The 27,352-nt window shown below is 55.4% G+C and overlaps 2 protein-coding genes across 73 annotated transcripts in view, besides 6 other annotated features; one reads left to right on the top strand and one right to left on the bottom strand.

Moving 5' to 3' along the window:
• The window catches only part of TANGO2 (transport and golgi organization 2 homolog), a 50,142-nt gene extending 35,259 nt beyond the window's left edge, over positions 1–14,883 (bottom strand). For 23 of the 59 annotated variants that reach the window (NR_104275.3, NR_104274.3, NM_001322148.2 and 20 more), the window contains exon 1: positions 10,772–10,796. The gene's annotated coding sequence lies outside the window, so the exon portion shown is untranslated. Of the gene's footprint in view, positions 1–10,607; positions 10,799–12,606; positions 12,726–14,713 lie in introns of those variants that run through there. The other 36 variants (NR_136212.1, XM_047441118.1, XM_047441131.1 and 33 more) reach the window with 5 other exon arrangements.
• Positions 57–753: an enhancer, noted in NCBI's record as "H3K4me1 hESC enhancer chr22:20018676-20019372 (GRCh37/hg19 assembly coordinates)". NCBI's record gives its function as "activates a minimal SCP1, AML or CMV promoter by ChIP-STARR-seq in primed H9 embryonic stem cells {active_cell/tissue: H9 hESC(primed)}" and the evidence as "EXISTENCE:reporter gene assay evidence [ECO:0000049][PMID:30033119]".
• Positions 8,536–8,675: an enhancer, noted in NCBI's record as "active region_18667". NCBI's record gives its function as "activates an Ori minimal core promoter by ATAC-STARR-seq in GM12878 lymphoblastoid cells {active_cell/tissue: GM12878}" and the evidence as "EXISTENCE:reporter gene assay evidence [ECO:0000049][PMID:35858748]".
• Positions 9,994–10,043: an enhancer, noted in NCBI's record as "active region_18666". NCBI's record gives its function as "activates an Ori minimal core promoter by ATAC-STARR-seq in GM12878 lymphoblastoid cells {active_cell/tissue: GM12878}" and the evidence as "EXISTENCE:reporter gene assay evidence [ECO:0000049][PMID:35858748]".
• Positions 10,644–11,033: a silencer, noted in NCBI's record as "silent region_13472". NCBI's record gives its function as "represses an Ori minimal core promoter by ATAC-STARR-seq in GM12878 lymphoblastoid cells {active_cell/tissue: GM12878}" and the evidence as "EXISTENCE:reporter gene assay evidence [ECO:0000049][PMID:35858748]".
• Positions 14,792–15,191: a silencer, noted in NCBI's record as "silent region_13471". NCBI's record gives its function as "represses an Ori minimal core promoter by ATAC-STARR-seq in GM12878 lymphoblastoid cells {active_cell/tissue: GM12878}" and the evidence as "EXISTENCE:reporter gene assay evidence [ECO:0000049][PMID:35858748]".
• The window catches only part of ARVCF (ARVCF delta catenin family member), a 51,690-nt gene continuing 39,420 nt past the window's right edge, over positions 15,083–27,352 (top strand). For all 14 annotated transcript variants that reach the window (XR_007067973.1, XM_011530179.4, XM_005261242.4 and 11 more), the window contains exons 1-2: positions 15,083–15,317; positions 21,398–21,451. The gene's annotated coding sequence lies outside the window, so the exon portion shown is untranslated. The remainder of the gene's footprint in view (positions 15,318–21,397; positions 21,452–27,352) is intronic.
• Positions 20,404–21,228: an enhancer, noted in NCBI's record as "H3K27ac-H3K4me1 hESC enhancer chr22:19998201-19999025 (GRCh37/hg19 assembly coordinates)". NCBI's record gives its function as "activates a minimal SCP1, AML or CMV promoter by ChIP-STARR-seq in naive and primed H9 embryonic stem cells {active_cell/tissue: H9 hESC(naive and primed)}" and the evidence as "EXISTENCE:reporter gene assay evidence [ECO:0000049][PMID:30033119]".

The following is a 27,352-nucleotide window of genomic DNA, read 5'->3' as shown; positions in this document are numbered from 1 at the left end:
GGGCCTGCTGGACCCTGCACCCACGGCCTGGCAGCCCCTGAGAGAGTCAGGATGGCCTCGGCACTGGATCTGTTCATTTGTAGCTCTGCTCTGCCCAGCCACGCTGTGGACACTCCTGGAAGTCAGCATGCTGCCTTCTGCTCTCTCATAGCAGGATCTGCTGATCCCCGCCAGGGTGCAAGAGGTCCCTGGGCAAGCTGGTGATGGGCAGCCAGCTTCCTCCTGGCCATGGTGGTCACTGTGTTCACATGTGGTCCTACTAGAAACATCATCTTGAAAGCAACTGGCATGACACAGGCACATGGCCAGGCCTCACCAGGCCCACAGGGATGGAAGAGCCCAGATATGTAGCCCAGGCTGACAACAGGAGGCCGTGTGGGCAGCAGTCGAGAGGAGCCATACTTCAAGACTGAAAGCAGAGCCTGTGAGGTGGGCAAATGTCCTGCCACCGACCTACGACACCAGCACAGCGCAGCAGGGCAACGTGGCATGGTGGTGAGGTTCCTGAGCCAGGACAAGAAAAGAAGCGTTGTTCTCATGGCTATTTGAGGAAGCACATCACCTCCACTCTGTCGCCCAGGTGCAGTCGTGTGATCATAGCTCACTGCAGCCTCGAACTCCTGGGCTCAAGCCATCCTCCCACCTCAGCCTCCCAAGTAGCTAAGATTACAGCTGCATACCACCACACCCGGCTAATTTTTTTTTTTTGAGACAGAGTCTCGATCTGTCACCTAGGCTGGAGTGCAGCGGCGCGATCTCAGCTCACTGCAGCCTCCTCCTCCCTGGTTCAAGCGATTCTCCTGCCTCAGCCTCTCAAATAGCTGGGACTAGAGGTGCGTGCCATCACACCCAGCTAATTTTTGTATTTTTAGTAGAGATGGGGTTTCACCATGTTGGCCAGGATGGTCTCGATCTCCTGACCTTGTGACCCACCCACCTTGGCCTCCCAAAGTGCTGGTATTACAGACATGAGCCACCACGCCTGGCCCTAATTTTTAAATTTTTTTGGAGAGGTGGGGTCTCATTATGTTGCCCAGGCTATTCTCAAACTCATGGGCTGAAGTGATCTTTCCACCTCAGGAAGTCTTAATGACTGGGTAGTATAAGTGACATCCTTTTAAAAAATTTTACAGCAACTGCTGGTTGGGCGAGGTGGCTCACGCCTGTAATCCCAACACTTTGGGAAGCCAAGGCGGGTGGATCACCTGAGGTCAGGAGTTTGAGGCCAGCCTGGCCAACATGGTGAAACCCCATCTTTACTAAAAATACAAAAATTATCACGCCTGTAATTCCAGCACTTTGGGAGGCCAAGGTGGGTGGATCACGAGGTCAAGAGTTCGAGACCAGCCTGGCCAATATGGTGAAACCCTGTCTCTACTAAAAATACAAAAATTAGCCGGGCGTGGTGGCGGGCGCCTGTAGTCCCAGCTACTTGGGAGGCTGAGACAGAAGACTTGCTTGAACCCAGGAGGCAGAGGTTGTAGTGAGCCAAGATCGTACCACTGTCCTCCAGCCTGGGCAACAGAGCAAGACTCCATCTCAAAAAACAAACAAACAAACAAACAAACAAATTAGCCAGGTGTGGTGGTGCGTGCCTATAATCCTAGCTACTGAGGAGGCTGAGGCAGGAGAATCACTTGAACCCACGAGGTGGAGGTTGCAGTGAACCGAGATCGTGCCATTGCACTCCAGCCTAAGAGACAAGAGGGAAACTCCATCTCAAAAAAATAAAAATTAAAAAAAAAAAAAAAAAAAGCAACTGCTTACACGAGAATGCCCTCTTTACAAGAGTCCTGGTGCACCCTGGGAAGGAAATGCGCTGGAGTGTGAGGCACTGGTTCTCTGGTCATACGGAGCGGCTGGCCTGTACCACTGCCTCCTGGAGCACATAGGGACTTGGTAGACAAGCAAGGGACGAAAGGATGTGCGTCGTGAGGCTCATCCATATCTGAGAAAGTCCAGCTCCTCTCACACAGATGTGACAAAAGAGGTCGCCTTTGTGATGGTCAACACTTAACCACCCCCAGTAGAGTGCCATCTCCAGTTGGGCCAGGCACCCTGCCTCCCTGCAGCCCAGACAGCTAGAGTGAATGCCCAGGGGACATGCACAGCCTCTGTGCAGGGAGGCCGGGGAACTAATCACTTGGGACTTTGGTGTGGTCTTTGCCAACCCTGCCAGGGAGGTAAGAGGGGGACAGTCACTGTGAGCTCACCATGTGACTGCAAATGCCACCAGCCTCAGCAGGGACAGAGCACAGGCCTCTTCCAGGGAGGAAGTTCCCCCCACACTCCTGGAGTCCCTCAACACCCCCAAGCCTGGCCAGAGGATCTATGAGATATGAATGGAAAGAGAGAGCCCTCTTCACACCGCAGCCAAGGGCTTCCCGTCCTCTAAGAATACCAGTGCGGGTGGAATTCTTCCCAGAATCCCAGCATACGTTCCCCTAGCCTAACAACCTGGTAATTCTGCAAAACAGGAAGAAAGCCTGGACTTGGCATGGGTTATTCTTAGAGCATGGCGCTGTCTGTGAAGGACGGAAGCTTTCCAGGCACTCTGGGCCCATCTGCTGATGCTTTCGAGAACTCTCCCAGCGTGCACCGTCCTCTCTGCCCACCTTCTGCTTCTGAGAGCCACCCCGCTCTAGAATCCCCTCTCCAGCCTAGGGCTCCTCCCCTGGCTTCTCAGAGAAACCAACAGGGCCTTCTGTCCTAAGGCCAAATGGAAACGGGCTAAACTCCCTCTCTAAGAAGAATGAGACTCCAGTTGAGGCAAGCCCCAAACCTCACTCCATGCGGTGTCTAAAAAAGGCACGACAAGAAAACCATTCAGACAGAACGCCTGGGCAAAGATGGGCCAGAGCCACAGGCAGAGAGCAGCAGCAGCAGTGACCCCAGCCAGGGCTGCGTGGGGACAAGGTCTGGCACCCTGATGGATGCGCACATGGCCTGCTGCCTGGCAGTGAGGATCTGCTTCCCTGGCTCTCAGTGCCCACCACAGGCAGGTAGGTGGGGTGGAGGGTGGGCAGTAACCTTGCAGAGGCCCATGGGGAAAAGAAGCAAGGGGGACGAGGGCCATGCTGACAGGGCCTCAAATGGAGGACCCAGTGGGGAACAGGCAGACCTCAGTGCTGCAGGGCAAATCCAGGCCACCCTCCTGCATGTCCCAGAACCCACTACTGCCAGCCTCCCCTTCTGAGGAGGCCAACAGGCATCAGGCATCTGACCGTGCCAGTCGCCCACCCCACACCAACCAGCACCACCTCCACTAGCTTTTGTATAATACCAAGAAACGCTGGTCCCTCCCATACGCTGCCTGTTCATTCACCCTCTATTCAGCCTCTCTGTGCCCCAGCCTAAGGCTGAGTCTCCTGTAGCCACGACTGGCAGCTCTGGAGGCTGGTGGGACCCATAGTTGTTAATACCATCGCTCAGGTCACCCAGGAGCACATTCTGGAGGGAAACATTTCCAGTGACATTTAACGGGCCAAAGCCCCATCCCTTCAGGGCTCATGTCTGTCATCCCAGCACTTTGGGAGGCTAAAGCAGGAGGATTGTTTGAGGCCAGGAGTTTAAGTCCAGCCTGTGAAACACAGCAAGTCCCTGTCTACAAAAAGCAAATAAAAACAATTAGCCAGGTGCAGTGGCATATGCCTGTGGTCCCAACTACTTGGGAGGCTGAGGTAGGAGGATGGCTTGAGCCTAGAAGATCAAGGCTGCAGTGAATTATGATCATGTCACTGCACTTCCGCAACACAGCAACAGAGGGAGACTCTGTCTCAATATAATACTAATAATATAATAAAATAAGGTAGGGTGCAGTGGCTCATGGCTGTAATCCCTGCACTTTGGGAGGCTGAGGCGGGCAGATCATTTGAGGTCAGGAATTCAAGACCAGCCTGGCCAACACGGTGAAACCCGGTCTCTACTAAAAATACAAAAATTAGCCAGGCATGGTAGTGCAGGCCTGTAATCCCAGCTACTCAGGAGGCTGAGGCAGGAGGATCACTTGAACCCAGGAGCCGGAGGGCGCCGTGAACCGAGATTGTGCCACTTCACTCCAGCCTGGGTGACAGCGCGAGACTCCGTTTCAAAAAAGTAAAGTAAAATAAAATAAATAATAATAAAATAAAATTAGCCGAGCATGGTGACATGCATCTGTAGTCCCAGCTACTCAGGAGGCTGAGGCAGAAGGATTGCTCGAGCCCAGGAGTTTGAGGCTGCAGTGAGCTATGATAGCACCACTGCACTCCAGCCTGGGTGACAAGGCAAGACTCTGAGTCTCAAAAAAAAAAGGAAAAAAAGCCTCAGCCAAGGGCTGCCTGTGGCGCCAGAGTGTTCTTAACCTGCTTGCACACACATGTGAGCAGACACATGTATGCTGTGGGGTTAACACGCTAGGGTCCCATTGCTCCGTTCTCCCTGATTGGCCATGAGGTCTGTCTCCACCAGAGCCATGTCCCCACTGGTTCACCACTGCCCAGCTTTCCCGCTGCTCTGCCTCTCAGCTGTGGCTGGTGTCTTCGTCCCATCAAGCGACCATCCCTAGCACATGCTCTGCACATGGGCTGATTTGGCTTGGATCTGTGTCCCCACCAAATCTCACGTTGAATTTAATTCCCAGTGTTGGAGGCAGGACCTGGTGGGAGGCGATTGGATCATGGGGGCAGAATTCTCATGAAAGTTTAACACCATCCCCCCCGGTGCTGTACAGTGATAGAGTTCTCACGAGATCTGGTTTTAAGTGTGTGGCACCTCCCCCATCTCTCTCTTCCTCCTGCTCCAGCCGTGTGAAGTGCTGGCTCCTGCTTTTCCTTCTGCCATGATTGTAAGTTTCCTGAGGCCTCCCCAGAAGCTGAGCAAATGCCAGGATCATGCTTCCTGTGCACCTTGCAGAACCGAGAGCCAATTAAACCTCTTTTTTTAATAAATGACCCAGTCCCAGGTATTTCTTTACAACAGTGGGAGAGCAGCTGAGGACATTCCTAGGATAGACGCAAGAGGTGGAATTGCTCCATCCATGGGTGACGCTTTCAGATAAACAGACTTGGCCAAGTCCCCGCTAACGTCTAGCACCAGAACCTGTTGCCACTCACCTGCCTCCAGGGTGTATGCAGTGTGGGAAATGTTCCCGCCAGGGTTTTATGGGCATCCCCCACTGGCTGGGCAACTTGTGACCTCCTGTATGTTCTTGCCAACAATTCACCAACATGGGTACTGACTGCTAGGCCTTTGTCTCACTGACCCGTAGTGCAGCTGGTGTGATGTGGGCAACCATGTGCCTGTCCCAGGCCTGCAACTGTTTTCTCCCTAGCCATCCCCTGCCTTTCAGCTCTGCCTGTGATGCTGTCTAGTAGAAATAGCCTTATATTACATGGGATTTTCCCATCATTACTGTACAGCAGTCATGTCCCGTCCTGCTAAAGGCCCTCCCTGTCCCAAAATGAGAACTCCTTTTTCTTATCTACCTTGTATGGTTGCACAGTGGTGAAGCTCTTTTTTTTTTTTTTTGAGACGAAGTCTCGCTATGTCGCCCAGGCTGGAGTTCAACGGCGCGATCTCAGCTCACTACAACCTCCACCTGCTGGGTTCAAGCAATTCTCCTGCCTCAGCCTCCCAAGTAACTGTCATTACAGGTGCGTGCCACCATGCCTGGCTAATTTTTGTATTTTTAGTAAAGACAGGTTTTCACCATGTTGGTCAGGCTGGTCTTGAACTCCTGACCTCATGATCCCCCCGCCTCAGCCTCCCAAAATGCTGGGATTATAGGCGTGAGCCACCCCGCCCAGCCTTGGTGAAGCTCTTGGATCTGCCCACTGTCTGCCTGTGCGACTGCTGTGAGGTGGGGACCACCCATGCTTCCCAAACGCACAGCCAATTGTCCTTAGGTGGCCGCTGGCCATCCAGTCTGGCCCACCTCAGCCACATCCTGGACTTCTAGTCACATGGGCCCCTTGAGGCCTTAAATGTGTCACCAGGCCTCTGATGCTGCAGTAGTCACCCTAGCTTCAATGCATTCTCAGGTGTCTGGAGGGCACCCTCCAGACTGTCCCCCTTGGCTATTCAAAGAACCTTCCAAACCCTGCCTAGATCACGCCATGCCCCAACTCCTGCTCACCATGCCAGGCACTCTGCAGGTGCCCAAGTCCACAAAGTGACACAGTAAGAAAGTCCATAACCTGGAAAAGAAGCCAGCCTGTGCCTTTCCATGGTGATGAGGCAGCAGGGAGGTCTCAGCCAGAAGATAGCACTCTGCTTGGTCTTTCATGCAGAGGCCAGAGATAAGCAACATCTGCCCATGGGGACAGGAGGCAGGGCAGGGCCACCTGGTCTAGGCAGCCACTGGGGGACACGAGGGAGATATCTGGGTGCTGGTGGTGGTGTGATATGGACGGTAGCTGTGTGGCTGGGTTCACTTTGTACAATCTGTCACGCCAGACACTGAAAGCGTGCACACCCAGTAAGCATGCTTCCCGGCGGGGAACAGTAATGTCTACCCTCAAAAGAAAGTGCACTGGCCAGGCACAGTGGCTCACACCTGTAATCCCAACACTTTGGGAGGCCGAGGTGGGTGGATCACCTGAGGTCAGGAGTTCAAGACCAGCCTGGCTAAAATGGTGAAACCCCGTCTCTACTAAAAACACAAAAATTAGCAGGGCGTGGTGATGCACGCCTGTAATCCCAGCTACTCAGGAGGCTGAGGCAGGAGAATCGCATTGAACCTGAGAGGCAGAGGTTGCAGTGGCACGATCTCAGGTCACTGCAACCTCTGCCTCCGGTATTCAAGCGATTCTCCTGCCTCAGCCTTTTGAGGTGACAAAGCAAGACTCTGTCTCAAAACGCAAAAAAAAAGAAAATGTACAGATCCTGCCCTCCTTCCCTGCCAGGGCTGGGACATTTCTATGGGCAGGGAAGAGAGGGAAGGAAGGGCAAGAACCCAAGAGTCACTTGTTCACAGAAAGCAAGAGAAGACCCAATCAGCCCTGGTGCAAGACAGCTCTGCATAGGACGGGGTGTAGCTGGGCTGTCGCAGCAACACCACACCTGGAGACCCTGGGGGCCAGAGGGGATGGGACACACGCTTTTGGCGGAACCACTTCCCTTTGGCAAGCGAAAAGGCAAGCATAGCACATGGGCAGAGGGGATGTGTGCTAAGCAGAAAGCAGTGGTGACAGAGGAATGGCAAGCTATTAGTACCACAGGGTCAAGGGGACCTAGACACTTGGGAGGGTAGCCATCAAGTCGGGCTCCTATTGGGGCTGCACATGGTGAGTCCCTGAACAGAGGGTGACTAAGCCCTACAGTCTGCTGCCCCCATTTAATGGCCTCAATGGCCACAAGGGCTGGTGCTGCAGGGCTGAGCAGCCGGGCGCCCAATCCCCATCCCTTGTAATCCCCACTCCATCAGCGGTGGCAGCCCCCAGGGGCAGAGCTTGAAAGCACGAGTTGCTCTTTTCAAAGGCAGACACAGACATGTGACGCGGGCTCCCGGTGGCTGTCAGCAGAGGAGGTAAACACACGTGGGAACACAGTGTCGCTGTTCACGGGGCCTGGGCGAAGAAAGTCCTGACGTCAGGAAACCCTCTGAGTCTCCAGTCCACTGCAATGCCCTGCTCCCTCCTATCTCCGCAGCAAGAGCTCACCAGTTTACACTCTCTGGCTATTAAATGGCATTTTTTATTTTTATTTTTAGATGGAGTTTTGCTCTTGTCGCCCAGGCTGGAGTGCAATGGTCCTGTTGGGTGGGCTGGGGGCAGCTGGAGAGGGTGACCTCTCTCACTGCAACGTTCGCCTCCTGGGTTCAAGCAATTCTCCTGCCTCAGCCTTTCGAGTAGTTGGGATTACAGGCACCTGCCACCATGCCCAGCAAATTTTTGTATTTTGTTTTTAGTAGGGACGGGGTTTCACTATGTTGGCCAGGCTGATCTCGAACTCCTGACCTCAGGTGATCCACCTGTCTCGGCCTCCCAAAGTGCTGGGATTATAGGTGTGAGCCACCGTGCCGGGCCTAAATGGCATTTTATTATGACACATTTTCTTTTTTTTTTTTTGAGATGGAGTTTCGCTCTGTTGCCCAGGCTGGAGTGCAGTGGCACGATCCCGGCTCACTGCAAGCTCTGCCTCCTGGGTTCACGCCATTCTCCTGCCTCAGCCTCCCGAGTAGCTGGGACTACAGGTGCCTGCCACCACCACGTCCGGCTAATTTTTTTGTATTTTTAGTAGAGACGGGGTTTCACCGTGTTAGCCAGGATGGTCTCGATCTCCTGGCCTCGTGATCCACCCGCCTCGGCCTCCCAAACTGCTGGGATTACAGGCGTGAGCCACCGTGCTTGGCCTATCATGACACATTTTCTACAGTGGTACTCTCTCCTCAGATCTTCACAATGCTTCCGGGGCATTTCTTCAGCCTCACACCAGAGGATCACTGTCTCTTCCCAGTTCCAAGGAATAGCACAAACAAGAGGCATCGTGAGCAGACAGCAAGCTCTGGACACAGGGTGGCCCCATCCTCAGGCCCTCCTGGGAGGAACACTCAGCTTCCTCACAAGCCAGGGACAGGCCAGCCTCGCAGCGGCCCCTGCGGCCTGAGTGGTTAGTAAAAACAAAAAAAAAGGGGGGCACTCCTACCATGCCCGCAAAGAGGATGAAGGCAAGCACTTCAAGTTTCAAGTTAGCATGGCACTGAAGATCTCAATGGATGTACCCCCAAATGTCAGCAAGTGCACCAGGGGAGCAGCCGCTGGGAGAAGGAGGCCAGCCTTTTTTATCTTTAAGCATGCATAAACTATTTTTGCAGTCTAAAAGGGAAGTTGAGAGAAAAAGGGGAAAAAGCTGTGATAACCTCAAAAAGCAGCTCAGTCTTTCTGGGGTGACCTTGTTTTCACGGAGCCCATCCTCATGGTAGGGATAGGCTTGTTTTCAAGACAGCCCAAGCCCTATGGTAGGGGCCAACAAAGGCCAGGCTCTGCCATGCTGCTGCCATGTGCTGACTGACACGTCACCAAAGGATGGGCCCTGCTTCTCATGCATCTGGAGTGTCAATGACAAGCATGGCCCTACTTCGAGAAGTCTTCCCAGCCTCCCTATCCCGGGCCATTTCTCTCCAGACCCCTTCTGGGGTCCCTGAGAAGCCCCTCATATCCCTGTGGGTGTTTTCAGAAGCAGCACCCTTGGGTGGGCACCGGGGTGCCCTCCAAGTTCGCCGTCTGGCGCAGAAGCCGGGCACAGGATCAAGTTCCCAGGACACTGCACGTGATTCCACACACTGCAAAACGTAATCAGAATGACAGCCCACAAGTGAAGACCAAGGAAGCACAAGAGGCTGGGCAGCCCAGGAAGAGCTGACAGCTGGTCACCTTAGCTCAGGGAAGGGCTATGGCCACCACACATCACAGCAGGCAGGGGCTTGGTCTGAGGGGCCTGCAGTCTGAGGACATGCAAGTAACACAAAGCTGTGTAGGGGTCAAAGGGGGTGGGGGCACCAGGGCACCCTACCCTGGACCACCAGAGCACTAGGATCCTGTGGGAACAGAGGCTCTGCTGTGTCCATCTAACAACATGGTCACCCTCTCCAGCTGCTCCCAGCCCACCCAACACAGACGCAGGACACAGACACAGGGACACTCCTAAGAGAGTGGCCCAGGAGTAGTAGAGGCACTGGGAGCAGGCCCTGGCTCTGAATGACCTTGGGAACACGATCTGCCACCTTAGCCTGAGTTTTCCTTGTATGAGCAGGACTGGATCAATGAATGCTTGCCCCAAAAGGCTGCCCAGAGGCAAATGAGCTAGCGTGAGAAAGCCTTCCAAAGAGCTACTCAGCTACCCCCTTATAGCTGCCGTCACATCTGCCTCATGGAAGAGGGCACTGTGCCCAGAGTGGCAGCAAAACAGTGGTCAGCAGGTCTAGAGCCACACGACAGTGCAAACAGGCCTGGCCAGGGCAGGGCATGTGACATTCCTGAAGAGGAAGGGGGCCTGAGGCCCAGGGACTTGTCCAAGGGCAGACGGTTCACTCTAAAGCTTGTGGTCCAGCAGGAAGCCAAGGGAGCACAGGAGAGGTGCTAGGGGCAGGGAAGGTGGGGGTCTCAGCAAACAGCCCTCTGTGCCCACTTCCTAGAGGAAAACGGGCAAAGCCCAGGCTGCTACAAAGCCCAGCGGTGGGGCAAGGACTGCCCTGAGTGCAGCCCTGCCAGCCCCTACCTCTGACGCTCTGGAGTTGGGGGTGGGGGATCTAACTACCCAAACCTCCCCAGGAAGGCCGCATCCAGGCGCAGGGATGACCCAGCACTTACTATCTACTCACACCCACATTAGCTGTCACCCTGCTGGCCCGCAGCAGGCCGCGGGTAGGGGGCAGAGTGACCGGGCGCCAGAGCTGTCCCTGATGCTGGCCAAGGCCGAGCAGCCCACACACCCTGCAGGGACCACGCAGCTCCCAACCCTGCCGATCTCAGCCTCCCCGCAGCGAGTCTGGTCCCACCTGCCAGAGTCCCTCGCATCCCGTGCCAGCGGGGATTATCAAAAACACCTTCCAGTAACGCGCGGGGCATTTTCGTCGGCCGGGATCGACGTGGTTGCCCCTGACCCAGCCGCCTGATTCTATACCATACCTCAGAAAGGGGAAACTGAGGCAGGGTGAGGAAGTGCGGCCAGCCCACCCACCTTCAAGCAGCCTGGCCCGGTCCGCGCACCCAGAGCCCAGAGCCCGGAGCCCCCGAGCCCAGGCCGGCCGGGCCACTAGCGGAGTCGGCCAGCCCCGGAGCCGCGCACTCACCGCCTCCGCCACCGCCGCCGACTTCCGGGTGCCGCGCCCGCGCGCCACCGCAGCCAGCCCAGTACCGCCCAGCCCGAAGCCGGCGCGTTCACCATTGGGCCGCGCAGCGAGGGGCGGGGCGGCGCGCCGCATGCCGGCGTCCCGTTGGCTGGGCGCGCTGTCGCTCGGAGGCTGCCACCTCCTGGCGCCCCGCCCCCGGGGCTGCGCCAAAGCTTCGGGCTGCGCGGGCGTCTGAGCGCTTCCTGATCCAGCGGCCTTCGGGGACTCCGCGGCTCCCTGCCTGCAGGGACGCCATGGGAGGTCGCAGCCGCCCCTGAGTCCATGCCCTCATGGACACCATCTGTCACCTGCTCACCCTGCGGCCTCTCTCGGAAGAGGTACAGGAATGCTCACTTCCGGACTGGCCCCCTCAGACTGCGTCCTGGTCTCCCCATCCTGTTCACTCAACCCCACCTCTGGACCTGGCCATCTTCCTCTTGGTCATCCCTTCCTTCACTTTATGGCCTCCAGGTCGGCTCTTTCCTCCCTGATGTCCCTGCCATTCCCAGTATGTACCCCCAGACCCTGGACTAGGCATTTGAGCACTATACCCTGCACACCCACCACCTCCCCCACTTCCACCCCCCAGTGTAGCCTTTGAGCTCACATCCAGGTCCAGGCCCCAGCGACGAGGGGCTGGCCCAGCTTGACTTGTGCAGGGTGAGCAGGTGGGCACTGACTGGGGCCCTCCCAACAGGACAGAGGCATTAGCTGGGACCGCTGCTCCTGTAGCCTCTGGGCTGTGCCTGGGCCTATGTGGCAGAAAGGTGGAGAGTCAAAGCCCAGAGGCTCAGGCCCTGCCTCAAAGTGAGCATTCAAAAAACTATGACATGGATGACAAAGACATTAGGGATAATGATAATGTGTAAAGCACTCTAAACCCAATGTCTGGGTCAGCAGTTCTTTCATCCCACTTTATAGATGTAAACACTGAGACTTGGAGCAGTTATGTCATTCAGTTGAAGTTGAAAAAGGTGGCAAGCAAGAGAGGCCACATTAGCTTCAACCTGTGTTGAAGACCTAGGTGCCCTGATGCCCTGCAGAAAACTGGGGCTCAGGGATGGGAAGAGCCTGGCTGGTAATCAGCAACGGCAAGAGTCTAACCTGGACCTACATGCGGGCCCGTTGTGCTCCACACTTTTGCTATCTTATCTGTGTTTCCCCTGGAACCCAACAGAACCTTTTACAAGGACTCCAGATGCCCAGGGACTCATGGCCAGCGGGCCGCAGACCCAGCCAGACATGGTTGTCTCTCCCACCATCCAGCAGTGGGATCATGTGGGGCTGGTACCAGTGATTTCCCTCTGAGCAGCCAAACCTATGCAATCTATAGGGCCAAGAGGTGGTGGTGGTGGACAAGTGGGATCTGGGGCTTGGGGGTGATGGACTGTGCCCTGGGGTTCATGGCAGCACCTGGAGAATGGGCTTCCCCAAAGCACCAGGCCATGCACCTCAAAGCTGGACATGAGTTGACCAAGGTTTCCCTTTGCCCACAAAGAGGGATGCAGTAACATGTCAGATGGTGGTTTGCATCCTGTTCTGTCATACCTTGTGGCCTTGGGCCATCCCCACCCCCAGCCATACTTTTCCCAGCTAGACAGAGCCAGAGCAGACACTCTGATCTTCTTTGTCACCACTGACACTCCAGTCTGGATGACATGCGATGCCAGGAAGCAGGTGACGGCAGATGAAATGGGTCTAGGATGGGCACCTAAGCCCTGGGATCTTGGGGCTGCAACAGGCTCACTGGCATCCAACCTCTAATTGCACACAAACTCAGATAGGAAGCTCACTACCTTCTGTGGCCACTCTTTTGATTTCAACAGCTGCCACTCTTGAAAAGTTCTTGACACCCAGCTGAAAGCATTTTCTCTCTGTGGCTTTCTCCGGGGGCCTCACAGCTGTCCGCATGGAGCTAGGTGAGAGGATGAGAGAGGGAGAACACTGGGCTACTGGTCCCTGTGGTCTCCCTTGCTGTGTTTTTCTTATCTTTTTCTTTTTTCCTTTTTTTTGAGATGGAGTCTCGCTCTGTCTCCTAGGCTGCCGTGCGGTGGTGCAATTTCAGCTCACTGCAACCTCCGCCTCCCAGGTTCAAGCGATCTCCTGCCTCAGCCTCCCAAGTAGCTGGGACTATGGGCGTCTACCACCATGCCCCGCTACTTTTTTTTGTATTCTTTTAGTAGAGATGGGGTTTTGCTATGTTGGCCAGGCTGGTCTCGAACTCCTGACCTCTGGTGATTTGCCTGCCTTGGCCTCCCAAAGTGCTGGGATTACAGGCATGAGCCACTGCGCCCAGCCTCCCTTGTTGTGTTTCTGACCCCTGGCTGCAGCCTAATGGGCCGACTGCTGGACAGCGGTCCTGAGTCCTGTTTGAATTGGTGCTGCCCCGACATCCTCTGACCTCAGCTAATGATCCTGCCTGCCGAGGGCAGACAGGTCTCTGCAACCCTATGGGTGGTAGGGGTGGTGATGAGAGGAGAGGTAGTCTCACTTGCACAGATTTTGGTGTATGGTTCTGTCTTTTGCACTCTTTCAACAGAGGTCTGTCCAGTCCCTCTTGCAAGTGTGGGGAGGGGGTGGTGCAGGACTATGAGGTAACTGTGAGAAGAGGGGCTCCAGCAGAACCAGGGTCCAATGGCCTTGAAGAGATGGCTGGGGACAGCTGGACTCATTACGTCTACTCCTAAATGGAGGAAACGACCCCTCAGCTACACAGCACCTGAGCCAGAATGTCACCATGGTGCTGCTCCACAGGATGACAGCTACCTGGTTTGTGAGGGCCCCTATTCTAGGGACAGCTACTTCATTCTGCCCTCCCAGAGCAGCAAGCAACAACCCTATGCCAGGAGGCCAATTGGCACGTCAAGTGCCAGCTCCAATCGATTGATAGTAGCTGCCTGGCTCTGAAAGGCAGCTGGGATCGATTCACCATGCTGCCAGCACACAGATGGACCCAGCGGTGGTCCCAGCAGTGAGTTCTTGCCTTGGGCCATTTCATTTTCTTTGTCCTGGCCAAGGAATGATTGGATGAACACACTGGACTCCCAATATGGGTGGATAAGACAAGAGTGTCTGGTCACACCCCTCCACCACTCATAAGCATGGTTGTGGGCAGTTTGGTTCCCCAGGCGGCCTTGGAGAATGCAATGAGCCGAGGAACTGGTCATCTCCAGGTGCATCCAGGGCAGGAAAGGATGACAGCATGCGTGAGCCAGGGTCACTGGCTAAGAAGTCATCTCAGGACCTCCCCCTAGAAAAGCCCACTGGGCAGCATCCCTGCTGGTTCCCCCCTACACCACAAGGTTACGCAGAGCTGGCGGAGGGTCATGGTCCCACTCATGTCAGGTGCTCTTAATCTGGCAAGGAAATGTAACCTACGTGAATCTCAACAGGCAGTGAAGCACCGTTTCTTCCTGACTCCAGGTAGGGTGAAGAAAATGGGACAGTAGTACGGGGTGCGGGCATAAACGCACAACTCTGCCTCCCCAGACGCAGAGCTGTGGGGCTGTGAGAATGCCAGGAGGAGGTAAGAAAGGGCGGCCCCATGGGGGGCCTGCAGGGTGGGACAAGCCCAAGAGGTCTCTACATCCAGGCCTGGTGGGGGAGGTGAGCCCCTGGTTTACCGAGGGGGTCCCTTCCTGCCCTCGGAAATACTGCAGCTCCTACCTCCATCGTCTCCCCGCTGCGGGGACCCAGGGGCGTGAGGATGAGAGAGCCCCCAGGCCCCAGGGTCAGACGACTGTGTTCAAGCAAGTGAGAACCTCTCTGAGGCTGTTTCCCAACTGTAAAATGGGGATAGCAGCAGAACTCTCTCTCGCGGCTTGCGTGAAGAATACAATTCGATGTCGACAGGAGGGAGCGGCGCGCAGCGCGCAGCGAGTAGCAGGCGCTGAAGAAGGATACCTGTGAACTGGGAGTGGTGGCGGAGGCTACGCGGCCAGAGTCCGGGGAAGGGGCGCCGGCTCTGCCAGTCCCTGCTCGGGGCTGGATGGTCGGGGGATGTTCTCGTAAGTCGGCTGGGAGGGAGCGGTCCCGCGTACCCTGCCACCGCCGCCGCAGAGGTTCGGGCAGGTGCGGGGCCGCGGCCCCTCCGCGAGGGGGCCGGTCATCCGCCGGGACTGACATCCCGGAGGCCCAATGGCAAGCCGTCATCTCCGCGCATCCGCCCAATCGGCGCCGGTTGCCGTGCCGCGCCGGGTCTCTCGACCAATGGGAAAATTTGCTGTCAGATGGGGCGGGGCGGAGATTCGCGTCGCCGGCCCGGTCCGCTTTGCGCACGGGCCGCGTGAGGGCGGGAGGGCTGGCCCGGGGTCTCGGGTTGCGCGCTGGGCCTGGAGGGAGGGGGCGGCCCCCGCACCGGTCCGAGTTGCGGCCGCGTGGACTGCGACCCGCGCCGCGCCGCACCGCGCCGCGCCCTGGGAACGCCGCTCCCCGCGCGCCAACGGACCCGGGGAAGCCCTTCTGGGGTCCGAGGCCGCGCTGCGGGGCCGCCCACGCTGCGCTCCAGGTAAGCCTGAGCCAGTGGGCGGGGTGTGGGACCCGGGGCTGGGGCCTCGGGTCGGAGCCGGGACTGGGGGCGGGGCTGCAGATATGGGACGCATTCCGGGCAGCGGTCCGGACAGGGTCCTATCCCTGGAGTCGAGATCCGGGCGAGGGTCTGGGCCGGACGTCGGAGCCAATCTCCGCCCCACCCGCGTCTTGTCCGCGCGCTCTGCGGCGTCCGAGACCCCGGGCCGGCGGGGGCGGGTCTCTTTGTGCGTGGCCTTGGGGCCCTACCCTACCCGTCCGGGCGTCTTGCACTGAGCACTCCAGCCGAGCGCGGCCCGACCCCGCAGCCGTGCCCGCCCCGCGCGACGCTTGGCGCCTAGCTGCCAGGGCCCTGCAGCCGCCGAAACTTTCCAACAGCCCGAGGGGCGGCAGGCCGGGAACTTTCCTGGGGCAGCGCGCCGCCGGGAAGCTCAGGGGCACCGACGGCCCGGAGGTGTCCTCGCGCCGCGCTGCTCCTGCCGCCTCGGGGGTGAGAGAGGGCGCGCCACCCGGACCCCCGGCCTGGGTCCCCCTCCCCACGCCGCCCTGCGCCCCCTCGGTGCCGGTGCGGAGACATGTCATCTCCACTCTGAGGGAGACTGCTCGGTTTGCTGGGGAGTCGCCCTGGGCAGGTGGCCTGAGAGCTCCAGCCTATTTTAATTTTTAAATAATTAAATATTGGCTGCTTACAATATTTCACCGTTTCTTAGCTATGTGTAATGTAACATACTTAAAATGGAACTAAAGGACTTCAGCTCCCTTTCCCTACATCCAGGCATATTTAGAAATAAGGAAAAGAAAGGTGCCCCGTGGGTATTTTTTAGAGTAGGCTCTTAATGCTGCTGTCTAATAACCTCAGGTGAGTACCCAGGCTGCTGTGGGGGAAACCTCCCCTATGGTATGGGCCAGGGGGGTGCAGTGGGAGCCTCCACCTCTCCCGACCTTAGCTTCTCTGGGGTAGCTGCCTTTACTTCTTCCTACTTCTTAACTACTGCCTTATCTGCCTTTACTCTGGGATCTGGGCGGTGTTTAGAGGTCTGGTCCAAACAAGGCAGGTGTTACCTATCTTGTACTCACTCTATTGGAGCTGGGATGGTGCTGAATGCAGGGGGGCAGTCAGCGCTCTCTTGCCCGGTGTGCCATGCCAGTGGCCGGTCAGCTCCTAAGCAGGTGATCCAGGCCTTAGATCAGGCGACAGTGTGAGCCGCAGCGTGTCTGGGAAGGCATTTCCCCCAGTCTTGCCCCATCCTATCCGCAATGTCTGCTCCCAGCTGTCCCCTGTCCCCACCCTACCCCCATTCTGGGGTCCACCAGCGCCCAGCAGAGGACTGGGCACAGAACATTCGCTAAGGGACTCAAGTCCCAGCTGAGAGGGTAGTTGAGCACAGCCAAGCCAGCCCCTGCCCAGCTCTTGGCTGAGCTGCCCTGTCAGGCTTTTCAGCATAAACACAAGGACCTTCTGACCAAGGTTCCTCCTGGGAGAACAAGTTCTGACCCTCAATCCTGCTAAATTTGAGTCTCCCCACCCACCACATCTGGGCTGCTTGGCTCCCATGTTTGCTCTGGCACTCCCTCCAGAGGTGGCCCTGTAGTCTCCCCCCAGTCCCGGGGCCCTCTGCATCTCTGTGGCTCTGTGAGGGTAGGGTAGCACCCCTCCTTCTGTTTGTGCTACACAGGGATTCAGGGTGAGTTCCCTGTGCTCCTTCACCCCAGGAGTCTGGCCTGGGGGAGCATGAGGCTGTCCTGAGTAAGGACAGAAGGTGCAGGAGCAGCAGGATCCCCGGTCTCTGGGTGGAGCAGGGAGCTCTGCACACGGATGCCAGGCACCACCCTCTGTCCAGCCCATCTGTCGTGCTCCCCGCCTGGCCCTGGCAGAGGGAGTGACAGGGTAGAGCTGGGATAGGGAGTCAGGGCCCATTCTGTAGACAGGGCCAGGAATGGAGGGTGGGGGTCCAGGGACAGCACTGCAGAGCACCAGCTGGGCCTTGGGGGTCCTGGGGACTTCCCTGATGGTGGCTTAGTCATGGGGAGGTGTCTGTTCTTTTGTCAGCAGCTTCAATTAAGACCAGAATGAGGCCGGGCGCAGTGGCTCATGCCTGTAATCCCAACACTTTGGGAGGCCAAGGCAGGTGGATCACCTGAGGTCAGGAGTTTGACACTAGCCTGGCCAACATGGTGAAACCCTGTCTCTACTAAAAATACAAAAATTAGTCGGGCATGGTGGCATGCGCCTGTAGTCCCAGCTACTCAAGAGGCTGAGGCAGGAGAATCGCTTGAACCGGGGAGGTGAGGGTTGCAGTGAGCCAAGATCACACCACTGCACTCCAGCCTGGGTGATAGAGCGAGACTCTATCTCCAAAAAACAAAAACAAACAAAACAACCAGGATGGGCTGGTCACGGTGGCTCGTACCTGTAATCCCAGCACTTTGGGAGGCCGAGGCAGGCAGACAGATCACCTGAGGTCAGGAGTTTGAGACCAGCCTGGCCAACATGGTGAAACCCTGTTTCTACTAAAAATACAAAACAAATTAGCTGGACCTGGTGGCATATGCCTGTAATCCCAGCTGCTGGGGAGACTGAGGCAGGAGGGTTGCCTGAACCTGGGAGGCAGAGGTTGCAGTGAGCCAAGATTGTGCCATCGCACTCCAGCCTGGGTGACAGGGTGAGACTCCGTCTCAAAAAAAGAAAAAAAAATACCCACAAAAAAACAAACAGAAAAACCCAAGATGAAGTCTTGGGTCACTCTGAGGGGACTTGGGATCAGGGATCCCTTAGTAGGTTTTCCTGGCTCAGGGCCTTCATATCTTGGCCTGTTTCAGGTCGGGAAGATGACCCAGAGCTGGTGGGTGCCTGGGGCCACAGAGTTCCCCCCACTCCATAACCAGTTATGCACAGGCCCTTCCCACTGCCCCTGCTGATTGAGGGGCTGCCGCCTCTGGCAGAGCAACGGGGAGCTGAGCATGGCCACCAGAGGGCAGCTGGGACCGCCACAGCAGGCAAGACCGGCTCCACCCAGCTTCCTGCGGCAGACCAGGACCCTTCCCCAGACACCTGGCTTGGATGACCGGAGCTCGGCCTCCAAGCCGCCTATTGAGGGCGTGGAGTTGGAAAGGAGCCAAGCAAGGCCCCTCGGTACCCCCAACATGCTTGGTGCAGGCAGAAGGAAGCCTGAAGGCCAGCTGGTGGGTGACCACACACAGGCTCAGCAGGGACAGTGAAGGACTAGCCCTGTGCCTGCGTAGCCCCAAAAGTGCAGTGTCCTTCAAGTGTGTGCCCAGGGGCCTCCCAAGCCTTCCCAGGTGTGGTCTGTGCCTCAATGTCCACAGCAGAAGTGGGCGTGTTCTCACTATGTGCCCAGGGTGGCAGCAGGCCTAGGAGAACACTCGGTTTTGCTGTAGTGGACAGCATTGTCATTGAGCAGCATGGACCTTCCCTGTCCACTGGCCACGGGGCACTCCATTCACCTGCCTGCATTGGCTGTTGCCAGGGCATGTTCTCAGCTACCTACAGTCAGTGTCACCTCGCGCTCATAGAGCAGGAAGCGAGGAGACTTGGGGAGGGGGTGGCCTGCTGAGGCCACACTGCAGGGAGTGCAGAGCGAGCTCACCTGGGCCCCTCATTGCCTACCCAGCCCAGGCTGCATCCTCCATCCCAGTTCTGGGCCCAGTGTGTACCCATGGGAGCTGCCCTGTGCCGTCAGCTATCCAAAGGACTGTAGCTTGCCAATCTGGCTGTGTGGCCTGGGCCAGGCTTATGCCCCAGTGTGAGACCTCTCAGCCCTCTGGTTGGACCATGGATACCGTGCCAGAACCACAGGGCTTACTAGGGCATCAGTGGGGTGTAGCCAGGGGCTGACAGAGCCCCATGGCCAGCCATCGGGTCTGGACAGTTTGGTGGGGAGACCCAGTGTGGGGGTCCCATGGCATGGGTAGGCCCAGGCCATCCTCACTGGGAAAAGGGCCCAATAAAGGGCGTGGTCATTCCCCCGCTTTGAGGCGGCTGGTACTGGGTCCTTGGCCAGGCAGGTGACCCCAGAGCTTGCAGAGCACTCAGGGGGGCTCCCCAAGGTGAGCACCTCCCCACCTTCCCATATGATCCTATCACTAGTTCTGCCTTCACATCACTGTCCTGTCTGTCGTCCCTCTGTCCGTCCACTGCCCAGAGCTCCCTTAGGTTGTCCACAGATGCTCTGCTCTGCCCCTGCCTGTACGATGCTGATGTGCCTAGTGCACCCTTAGGAAGGATACCCACAGCTCTGGCTGCTCCTACCACTCAGCCTCCTGTGGTGCTGCTATCCTCTGCTCCCACCCATCTCCTGGGGGAAGCCCTCTCCAATGCCTCACTTGGACCCCTTCCCAGGGTCTGCTATTGGCTCTACCATATGGTTGCAGGTTCTTGGCCTGGCTGGACCCCATGAGGTAGGAGGCCCATGAGGAAGGACCCATGTTCTCCTTTGGTCACACTTCCCCAACTGGGTGGGGGGGGGGGACTTTGGGAGGCCTGGAGGCAGGAAGACCTGAGTTAAATCCTGGCCCAGCCCTTGTCTGGCTGGGACCCAGTTTCTCCATGTGTAAAATGGGGTATATAGCCAACCTGAGACACCTGGTAGAGTCAGTGAGATGACGGCTCACAGCCAGTGTGTCTCGGTTCTGTGGCACATGGTGACTCCGGGGGAGAGGCTGGTGCTTATCAGGGATAAAAAAAAAAAGTCACATGGTTCTCTGTGGTACAAAACCTATGTGAACACTTAAGCTAAAACCAGAGGTTTCCTAGAAATGTCACACTCAGAGCAAAAGCTGGTTCCTAAGCCTCAGACCTTGGAGTAGGAGCAGCATCTCCTCTTCCTCGGGGCGCAGTGCTGGTGGATGGGCTCCCAACCGGGCCTGCCCATCTCAGGTGCACACACACACTCATATTCACATGCACGCACATGCATATGCACATGTGCCTGGCTTGGTCCCCAGTTCTTCCCTGCCTCAGGCCCTGCATCCCACCCCCCATGATCCCACCCTGAGGCGTAGCCAGTCGCCCACCCTCACTTGGACCCCTTCCCATGATGAAGAGGCTGTCGTGAGACGGGGAAACACACCGTTGGGGCACCAGAATGGACCATGACCACAAAGGACTATTGGGCGGGGCCTCAGAACAATCTAGAAAACACCGTAGAGGCGGGGGAGAGAGCTCTCATTACCGATGTCCCCCAGAGACAGCCTCCCATCCGAGGCCCAGCCCTTCCCTGTCTGTCTGCAGTGTCCTGTTTTTCATTTTTATGACATGAACACTCTGGCAATATCCCCGGGCCTAGATATAAGGAGAGGGAATGTGTCCCCGGGGCCATTAGCTGAGACAGGAAGCCGCAGGGTCCTCCCCTGAGGAAGGCTGAAAGCTGTGTGAGTACAGGCACCCCCTTGTCTCCTGCTCCAGCCCATAAGCCTCAGCTCCCCAGGCTTGAGTGCCAGGTCCCCCATCCCAGACAAATGGTTATTCACACCTGGCCACAGCTCCAGGGCCAGGAACCTGCCTGCTTCCCCGCCCTCCCTGTACTGGAGACTGTTGGGGGCAGCTGCCTGCCTGGGAGGGCCCAGGATCTATGTTGGCCTCAGGGAACCTCAGGAGAGGCACGTGGCCTCGCCCACAAGGCGGGAGCGGACTCTAGGGAGGTGGAGCAGATGTCTTATGGGGCTGTGAGCACCTGCGTGGGGCAACAGGACCCTGAGCCTGGCTACCCTGGGGTGGGAATACTGCTGTGCTGTGTGTGATGGGGAAGACGTCATTATCAGTCCACATCTCTGAAGGATCACGTTTCTGAAGGATGGTCAACAGCATTAGACATGCTGACAAGGAACCGTGGCAGCCCAGTGTCACCTACAGTCCTGGACATGTGGGGGCAAGAAGGTACACATGAGTGTGTGGTTATGAGTCAGGAGCACCACGGGATGACCTTCAGATCAGGCATGACAAGGTCCTGCTTAGAGGACGGTCTGGGCTTGTGTACCTTTATCCGGCAGGGACCTACCCAGCTGGATTGACCTCACTCATGCCCTCTGGTTTCCCTGCAGGAGCCAGAGCCTGCAGGGTGGGTGTCGGGACATGCTGATCTTCCCTCAAGACAGGTGAGTGGCCTGGGTTTAGCTTGGGGACATCCTCTCCCACATAGGACAGCAGAGTGTTCTGGTGGGCCTGGCGGGTGGGGGTGACAGGGATGGACTGGCCCTGGACACTGTGTGCTCCTGGTCCTTCTCACCCTGGGTAGGCACAGCCCCTGGGCTGGACAGGGTGGATGTGAGGGCCTCCTGCCACCAGCTTGGGTTTGTTACTGGCCTGAATATGGGCAGCAGCCACTGGTTTGATGTCTGGCTTTAGGGACAAGCCTGTTTGGGGCTGGCTGACGAGGTTGCTGGTCAGTGTTGGTTTGGACATTCACTGGGTCTGCTCTTCACCTGCCTGAGCTAGGATGCCAGCCGCAGTGGCATCCAGTATTGGCACAGCCTGCTGGGCCAGGCCATTCGCTTGCCCCCCAGAGACTGGAGCCACAGGGACAGAGGATAGTCCTGGAGGCCAGGCACACAAAACTTTGTTTGAAAAGGTCTGATAGTAAGTAATTCAATTTTGCAGGCCTTATGGTCTCTGTCACAGCTGCAGTTCTCTGCCATTGTAGGATGAAAATGGCTGCAGACAGCCCATAACTGAATAGTCTGAATGTACTCTGATCACAGCCGTAGGCCATGTGTACTGGCCCGTGGCCTCAGGTGTTATCTGTGTTTGGGGTTCCTCTGCTTATCATGGCTGCTAGCTCCAGTGGGACTGAGGCATAGCGCCTGGGAAGCATGGCAGGGTTGGAGGCTGAGTGGTCCATGTCCCCCAGGACCCTCTGAAGGATGGTAAGGCATACCCTGCTCACATCCACGCTGCCAGAGTTTTGCCACGATGGGTGCTGTTCAGCAGAGTGGGTGATGGCTTAAGAGAATGGCTCCTGGCCATTCTTGTTCCTCCAGTCCCCACCCTGGCCATCTGCCTGTCCCCCCAAAAAGCAGTCTCTGTGGGAGGCATGGCTGACAGCCCTGTGGTTTCTCAGTGACAATTAGTGCCCATTGTGGAGGCATGGCCCAGCCAGTGCTGTGCCTAAGTGGTAGGGAGAAGGCCATGGCCTCCGGATGCCTGAGTGACCTAGGCTGAGGGATCTAGGGCAGATGGGAGGGACAGGATGACTGACTCCTTGCCTGTTCCCAAGTCCTTGGGCATGGAAAGCTGCCGGCCGGGCCAGCCTAGTGGGAGCTGGGTCTGCTGCCGCCTGGCTGTGTGGGAGGACCAGCGTCTGGCCGAGAATGTCACTGCTCAGGCCATTTGGCCATGCAGGGTCTTCTGGGTTGGGACAAAGAAGCTCAGGCAGGGTACTTGGCTTGCTTGTGGCACAGGTGACAGGGCATCTCAGGGTGGCAGGAGGGGCTGTCCCACTGCCCTTAACTCCTCGTAGGTCACCACACTTCAGGGAGGCCAGGTCAGCCAGACACCAAACGACAGCCCTGGTAACAGGGTCCGCAGGAGGGTGGTTGGCTGGGCAGGTCCGAGGCTGCCCAGGCACACTTGCTCACTCTCCCTCCTGTTGCTTGCTCCTTTCTTGTCCCTTCTTTTCCCTCCCCCCTCCAGTTCTTGGTCTTCTCTATGTTTCTCTGTGGCCCTCTCTGTGCCTCTTTCTCTGCCTTTCCCCATCTCCTATCCTGCCCATCTGGAATGTGGTGATTGCTTATTCCTGTCTGCTGTGGTGATTGGTTTTTCATGTCTGCCCTGGGCACTGGTGCGATGGGTGATGGCATTTGTGCCATCTCTGCTCTGGCTTGGGCAACCTGGGCTCTGGCTTGCGGCTGCCTGCTCTGCTGGGCCCTGGGGTGTGGTCCTGTCCACAGCGGGAGGCAGCTGGGGAGGGAGCCTCAGGGCTCAGCTGGGACAGGGGCTGATGTAAACACCCATGTGTCACCACACTCAGCACCCACTCACCCAGCCTCATGCTGGGTCCTGGGCATCACAGGCACATCAGGCCCAGCCCTGCCCCTGAGGAGCTCCCAGCCTGGTTGAGGAGATCCACAACACACAGAGGAACCAGTGGCCAACTGTGGGGTTACAAGATGGTGATGAGTAGCATGGCTCCCTTAGGAGGGGGAGCTGGGAGGGTGTGATGGGGTGGTGCGTGCTGAGACCAGGCCTGAGTGAGAAGGGCTGGCGGGGACACAGATGCCCTGCCGTTTCCCATAGCTGGCCAGCAGTGGTGTCCTCTCAGAGACCAGCACCAGCCTGGCCTCCTCCATCAGCCGCCGTGTGCCTGCAGGGGGTTGCGGCTTCGTCTCCTGCGGCCGCCTGGCCCCTATGACAGGCCTTCTCTTGGGTTTTGATGTGTTTCTCAGCCATTGTATGAGTCTTTGTATATTAAAGATATTAATTCTTCACTCCTCTTTCTGCCTACTGCACATTTTTCTCACCCTTTTAGTTTTTGTTTATGATCATTTTGATGTCAAAAATGTTTCATATTTTGTGGTGAAGTGTGTTGGATTTTTCCCCATTTTTAGATATTCCGTCTCTCTGTGTAGTCAACTCTCCCTAGCATGCAGCCAGATAAAGATGCACCTGTCTTTTCTTCTAGAAGGTATTTTTACTTTAGTTTTGTACACAGCATTTAATCTGTCTGTCTTAGTCCATTTTGGGCTGCTGTATCAGAATACCTGAGACTGGCTAATTCCTGAAAAACAAAGACTTATTTCTAACAATTTTGGAGATGGGGAAGTCCAGGATTGAGGGGCCACATCTGGCGAGGGCCTTCTTTGTCGCTACATCCCCCAGGAGGTGGCAGAAGGGCAGGAGCACACGTGAGAGAGCGCTGAAGGAGGCGGAACCCATCCTTTTATCAGTAACCTGCTCCCGAGATAACAAATCCACTCCCACTGTAACGGAATTAATCCATTCATGTAGCAGAGCCCTTGTGACCTAAACACCTCTTAGAGGTCCTACCTTCAACACTGTTGCGTTGGGAATTAAGTTTCCAACACGTGAACTTTGGGGGACACGTTCAGCCCATAGCACAAACTAGTATTTATTCTGATGTAAATGGACGGCAAGGATTTAACTTTGTTTTTACAGCTGCATCTGAACTGTTTCCTTTTTGTTTGTTTGTTTTGAGACGGAGTCTCGCTCTGTCACCCAGACTGGGGTGCAGTGGCGCATTCTTGGCTCACTGCAACCTTCACCTCCCACGTTCAAGCAATTCTCCTGCCTCAACCTCCCGAGTAGCTGGGATTACAGGTGCCTGCCACCATCACCAGCTAATTTTTAAATTTTTTTTTTTAATAGAGATGGGATTTCACCATGTCCAGGCTGGTGTCGAACTCCTGACCTCAGGTGATCCTCCCGCCTCGGCCTCCCAAAGTGCTGGGATTACAGGTGTGAGCCACCGCTCCCGGCCATGCCTGGCTAATTTTTGTATTTTTTGTACAGACAGGGTTGTGCCATGTTGCCCAGGTTGGTCTCGAACTTCTGGGCCCCAGCAATCCACTTGCCTTGGCCTCCCAAAGTGCTGGGATTACAGGTGTGAGCCACTGCACCCAGCCTTAAATTTTTACCTTTGATATACTATTTATTTCAAAAGGGTAGGCCAGGCGCGGTGGCTCATGCTTGTAATCCCAGCACTTTGGGAGGCTGAGGCAGGCAGATCACGAGGTCAAGAGATCAAGACCATCCTGGTCAACATGGTGAAACCCCGTCTCTACTAAAAATACAAAAATTAGCTAGGCATGGTGGCACGCGCCTGTAGTCCCAGCTACTCGGGAGGCTGAGGCAGGAGAATCACTTGAACCCAGGAGGCGGAAGTTGCAGTGAGCCGAGATCGCGCCACTGCACTCTAGCCTGGCGACAGGGCAAGACTCCGTCTCAAAAAATAAATAAATAAAAGGGTATTATGCAATTTCTTACTTATTATGTGAGGGAGCCTCTTTTTTTTTTTTGAGACAGAGTCACGCTCTACCGCCCAGGCTGGAGTGCAGTGGCGCGATCTCGGCTCACTGCAAGCTCCGCCTCCTGGGTTCACACCATTCTCCTGCCTCAGCCTCCCAAGTAGCTGGAACTACAGGCGCTCACCGCCACACCCGGCTAATTTTTTTTGTACTTTTAGTAGAGACGGGGTTTCACCATGTTAGCCAGGATGGTCTCGATCTCCTGACCTCGTGATCCGCCCGCCTTGGCCTCCCAAAGTGCTGAGATTACAGGCGTGAGCCACCACGCCTGGCCAGGGAGCCTCTTTTTTAATTTTAATTTTTAATTATGGTAGAATACACATAACAAAATTTACTATCTTAACCATTTTCAAGTGTACAATTCAGTAGTGTTGTTTGTTCACATTGCTGTGCAACCAATTTCAGAACTTTTTTTTATTCTTGCAAAATAGAAACTCTGTACCCATTAGAAAACTCCCCGTTTGCCCCTTTCTTGAAGTGCTTCTACTTTTCCTATTGTTTGACTACTTTAGATGCCTTACATAAATAGAATCTCACAGTATCTGTCTTTTTGTGACTGGCTTATTTCACTTAGTATCATGAGAATATCATATGTCAGAATTTGATGCCTGATATTCCATTGTATATCTATACCACATTTTGTTTATCCATTTTTCCACTGGTGGACACTTGGGTTGCTTCCCCTTTTTGGCTATTGTGAATAATGCTGCTGTGAATATGATTGTGCACATATCTCTTGGAGACTCTGCTTTCAATTCTTTTTTTTTTTTTTTTTAGACGGAGTCTCGCTCTGCCGCCCAGGCTGGAGTGCAGTGGCACGATCTTGGCTCACTGCAAGCTCCGCCTCCCAAGTTCACAAGTAGCTGGGACTACAGGCGCCTGTCACCACGCCCGGCTAATTTTTTTGTGTTTTTAGTAGAGACGGGGTTTCACCGTGCTAGCCAGGATGGTCTCGATCTCCTGACCTTGTGATCCACCCGCCTCGGCCTCCCAAAGTGTTGGGATTACAGGCGTGAGCCACCACGCCTGGCCTCAATTCTTTTAGATACATAATGCAGAATTTTCTGATTGCTGGACCATATGGTAATTCTATTTTTAATTTTTTGAGGAATTGCCATACTGATCTTACATTCCCACCAGCAGTGCACAAGGGTCTTAATTTGTCTGTATCTCTGCCAAAACTTTTTTTTTTTTTTTAGACTAGCCATCCTAATAGGTGTAAGGTGATATTTCATTGCAGCCTTGATTTGCTCTTCCCTAATGATAGAAATGTTGAGCAAATTTTTTAACGTGCTTGTTGGCCGTTTATATATCTTCTTTGGAGAAATGTCAGTTCAACTCCACTCATTTTTAAATTGGGTTATTTGTGTTTTTTTGCTGTTGTTAAGTTTTGGGAGTTCTTTACATATTCTGGATATGAATTCCTTTTCAGATATATGATTTACAAATCTTTTCTCCCATTCTGTTGGTTGCTTTTTCACTATATTGATTGTGTCCTTTGATGAACATACATTTTAAATTTGGATGTAGTACAATTTATTTTTCCTTCTGTTGCCTGTGTTTTTGGTATCTTATCTAAGATATCATTGCCAAATCCAGTGTCATGAAGACTTTCCCCTATATTTTCTTCTAAGAGTTTTATAGTTTGAGGTCTTATGTTTAGATCTTTCATCTATTTTGAGTTAATTTTTGTGTATGTAATAAGGTAAGGGTGTGAGTTCATTCATTTACGTGTGTGTATCCAGTTCCATCATTTGTTGAAAATACCATCATTTCCCTAATGAATGGTCTTGGCACCTTTATTGAAGGTCATTTGACCGTATTCATGAGGGTTTGTTTCTGGGCTCTGTATTCTATTCCATTGGTCTTTGTGTCTGTCCTTATGCTAATACCACACTGTTTTGATTACTGTAGCTTTGTAGTAAGTTTTGAAATCAGGAAGTGTGAGTCCTTAAATGTTGTTCTTTTTCCAGATTGTTTTGGCTCTTTGGGCTCCTTAAAGATCGATATAAATCT

This window comes from Homo sapiens, chromosome 22, assembly GCF_000001405.40.
Source record: "Homo sapiens chromosome 22, GRCh38.p14 Primary Assembly".
NCBI lineage: Eukaryota > Metazoa > Chordata > Mammalia > Primates > Hominidae > Homo > Homo sapiens.
Note: the sequence above shows the minus strand (reverse complement) of the source record. Positions and strands in the feature narration are given on the sequence as shown.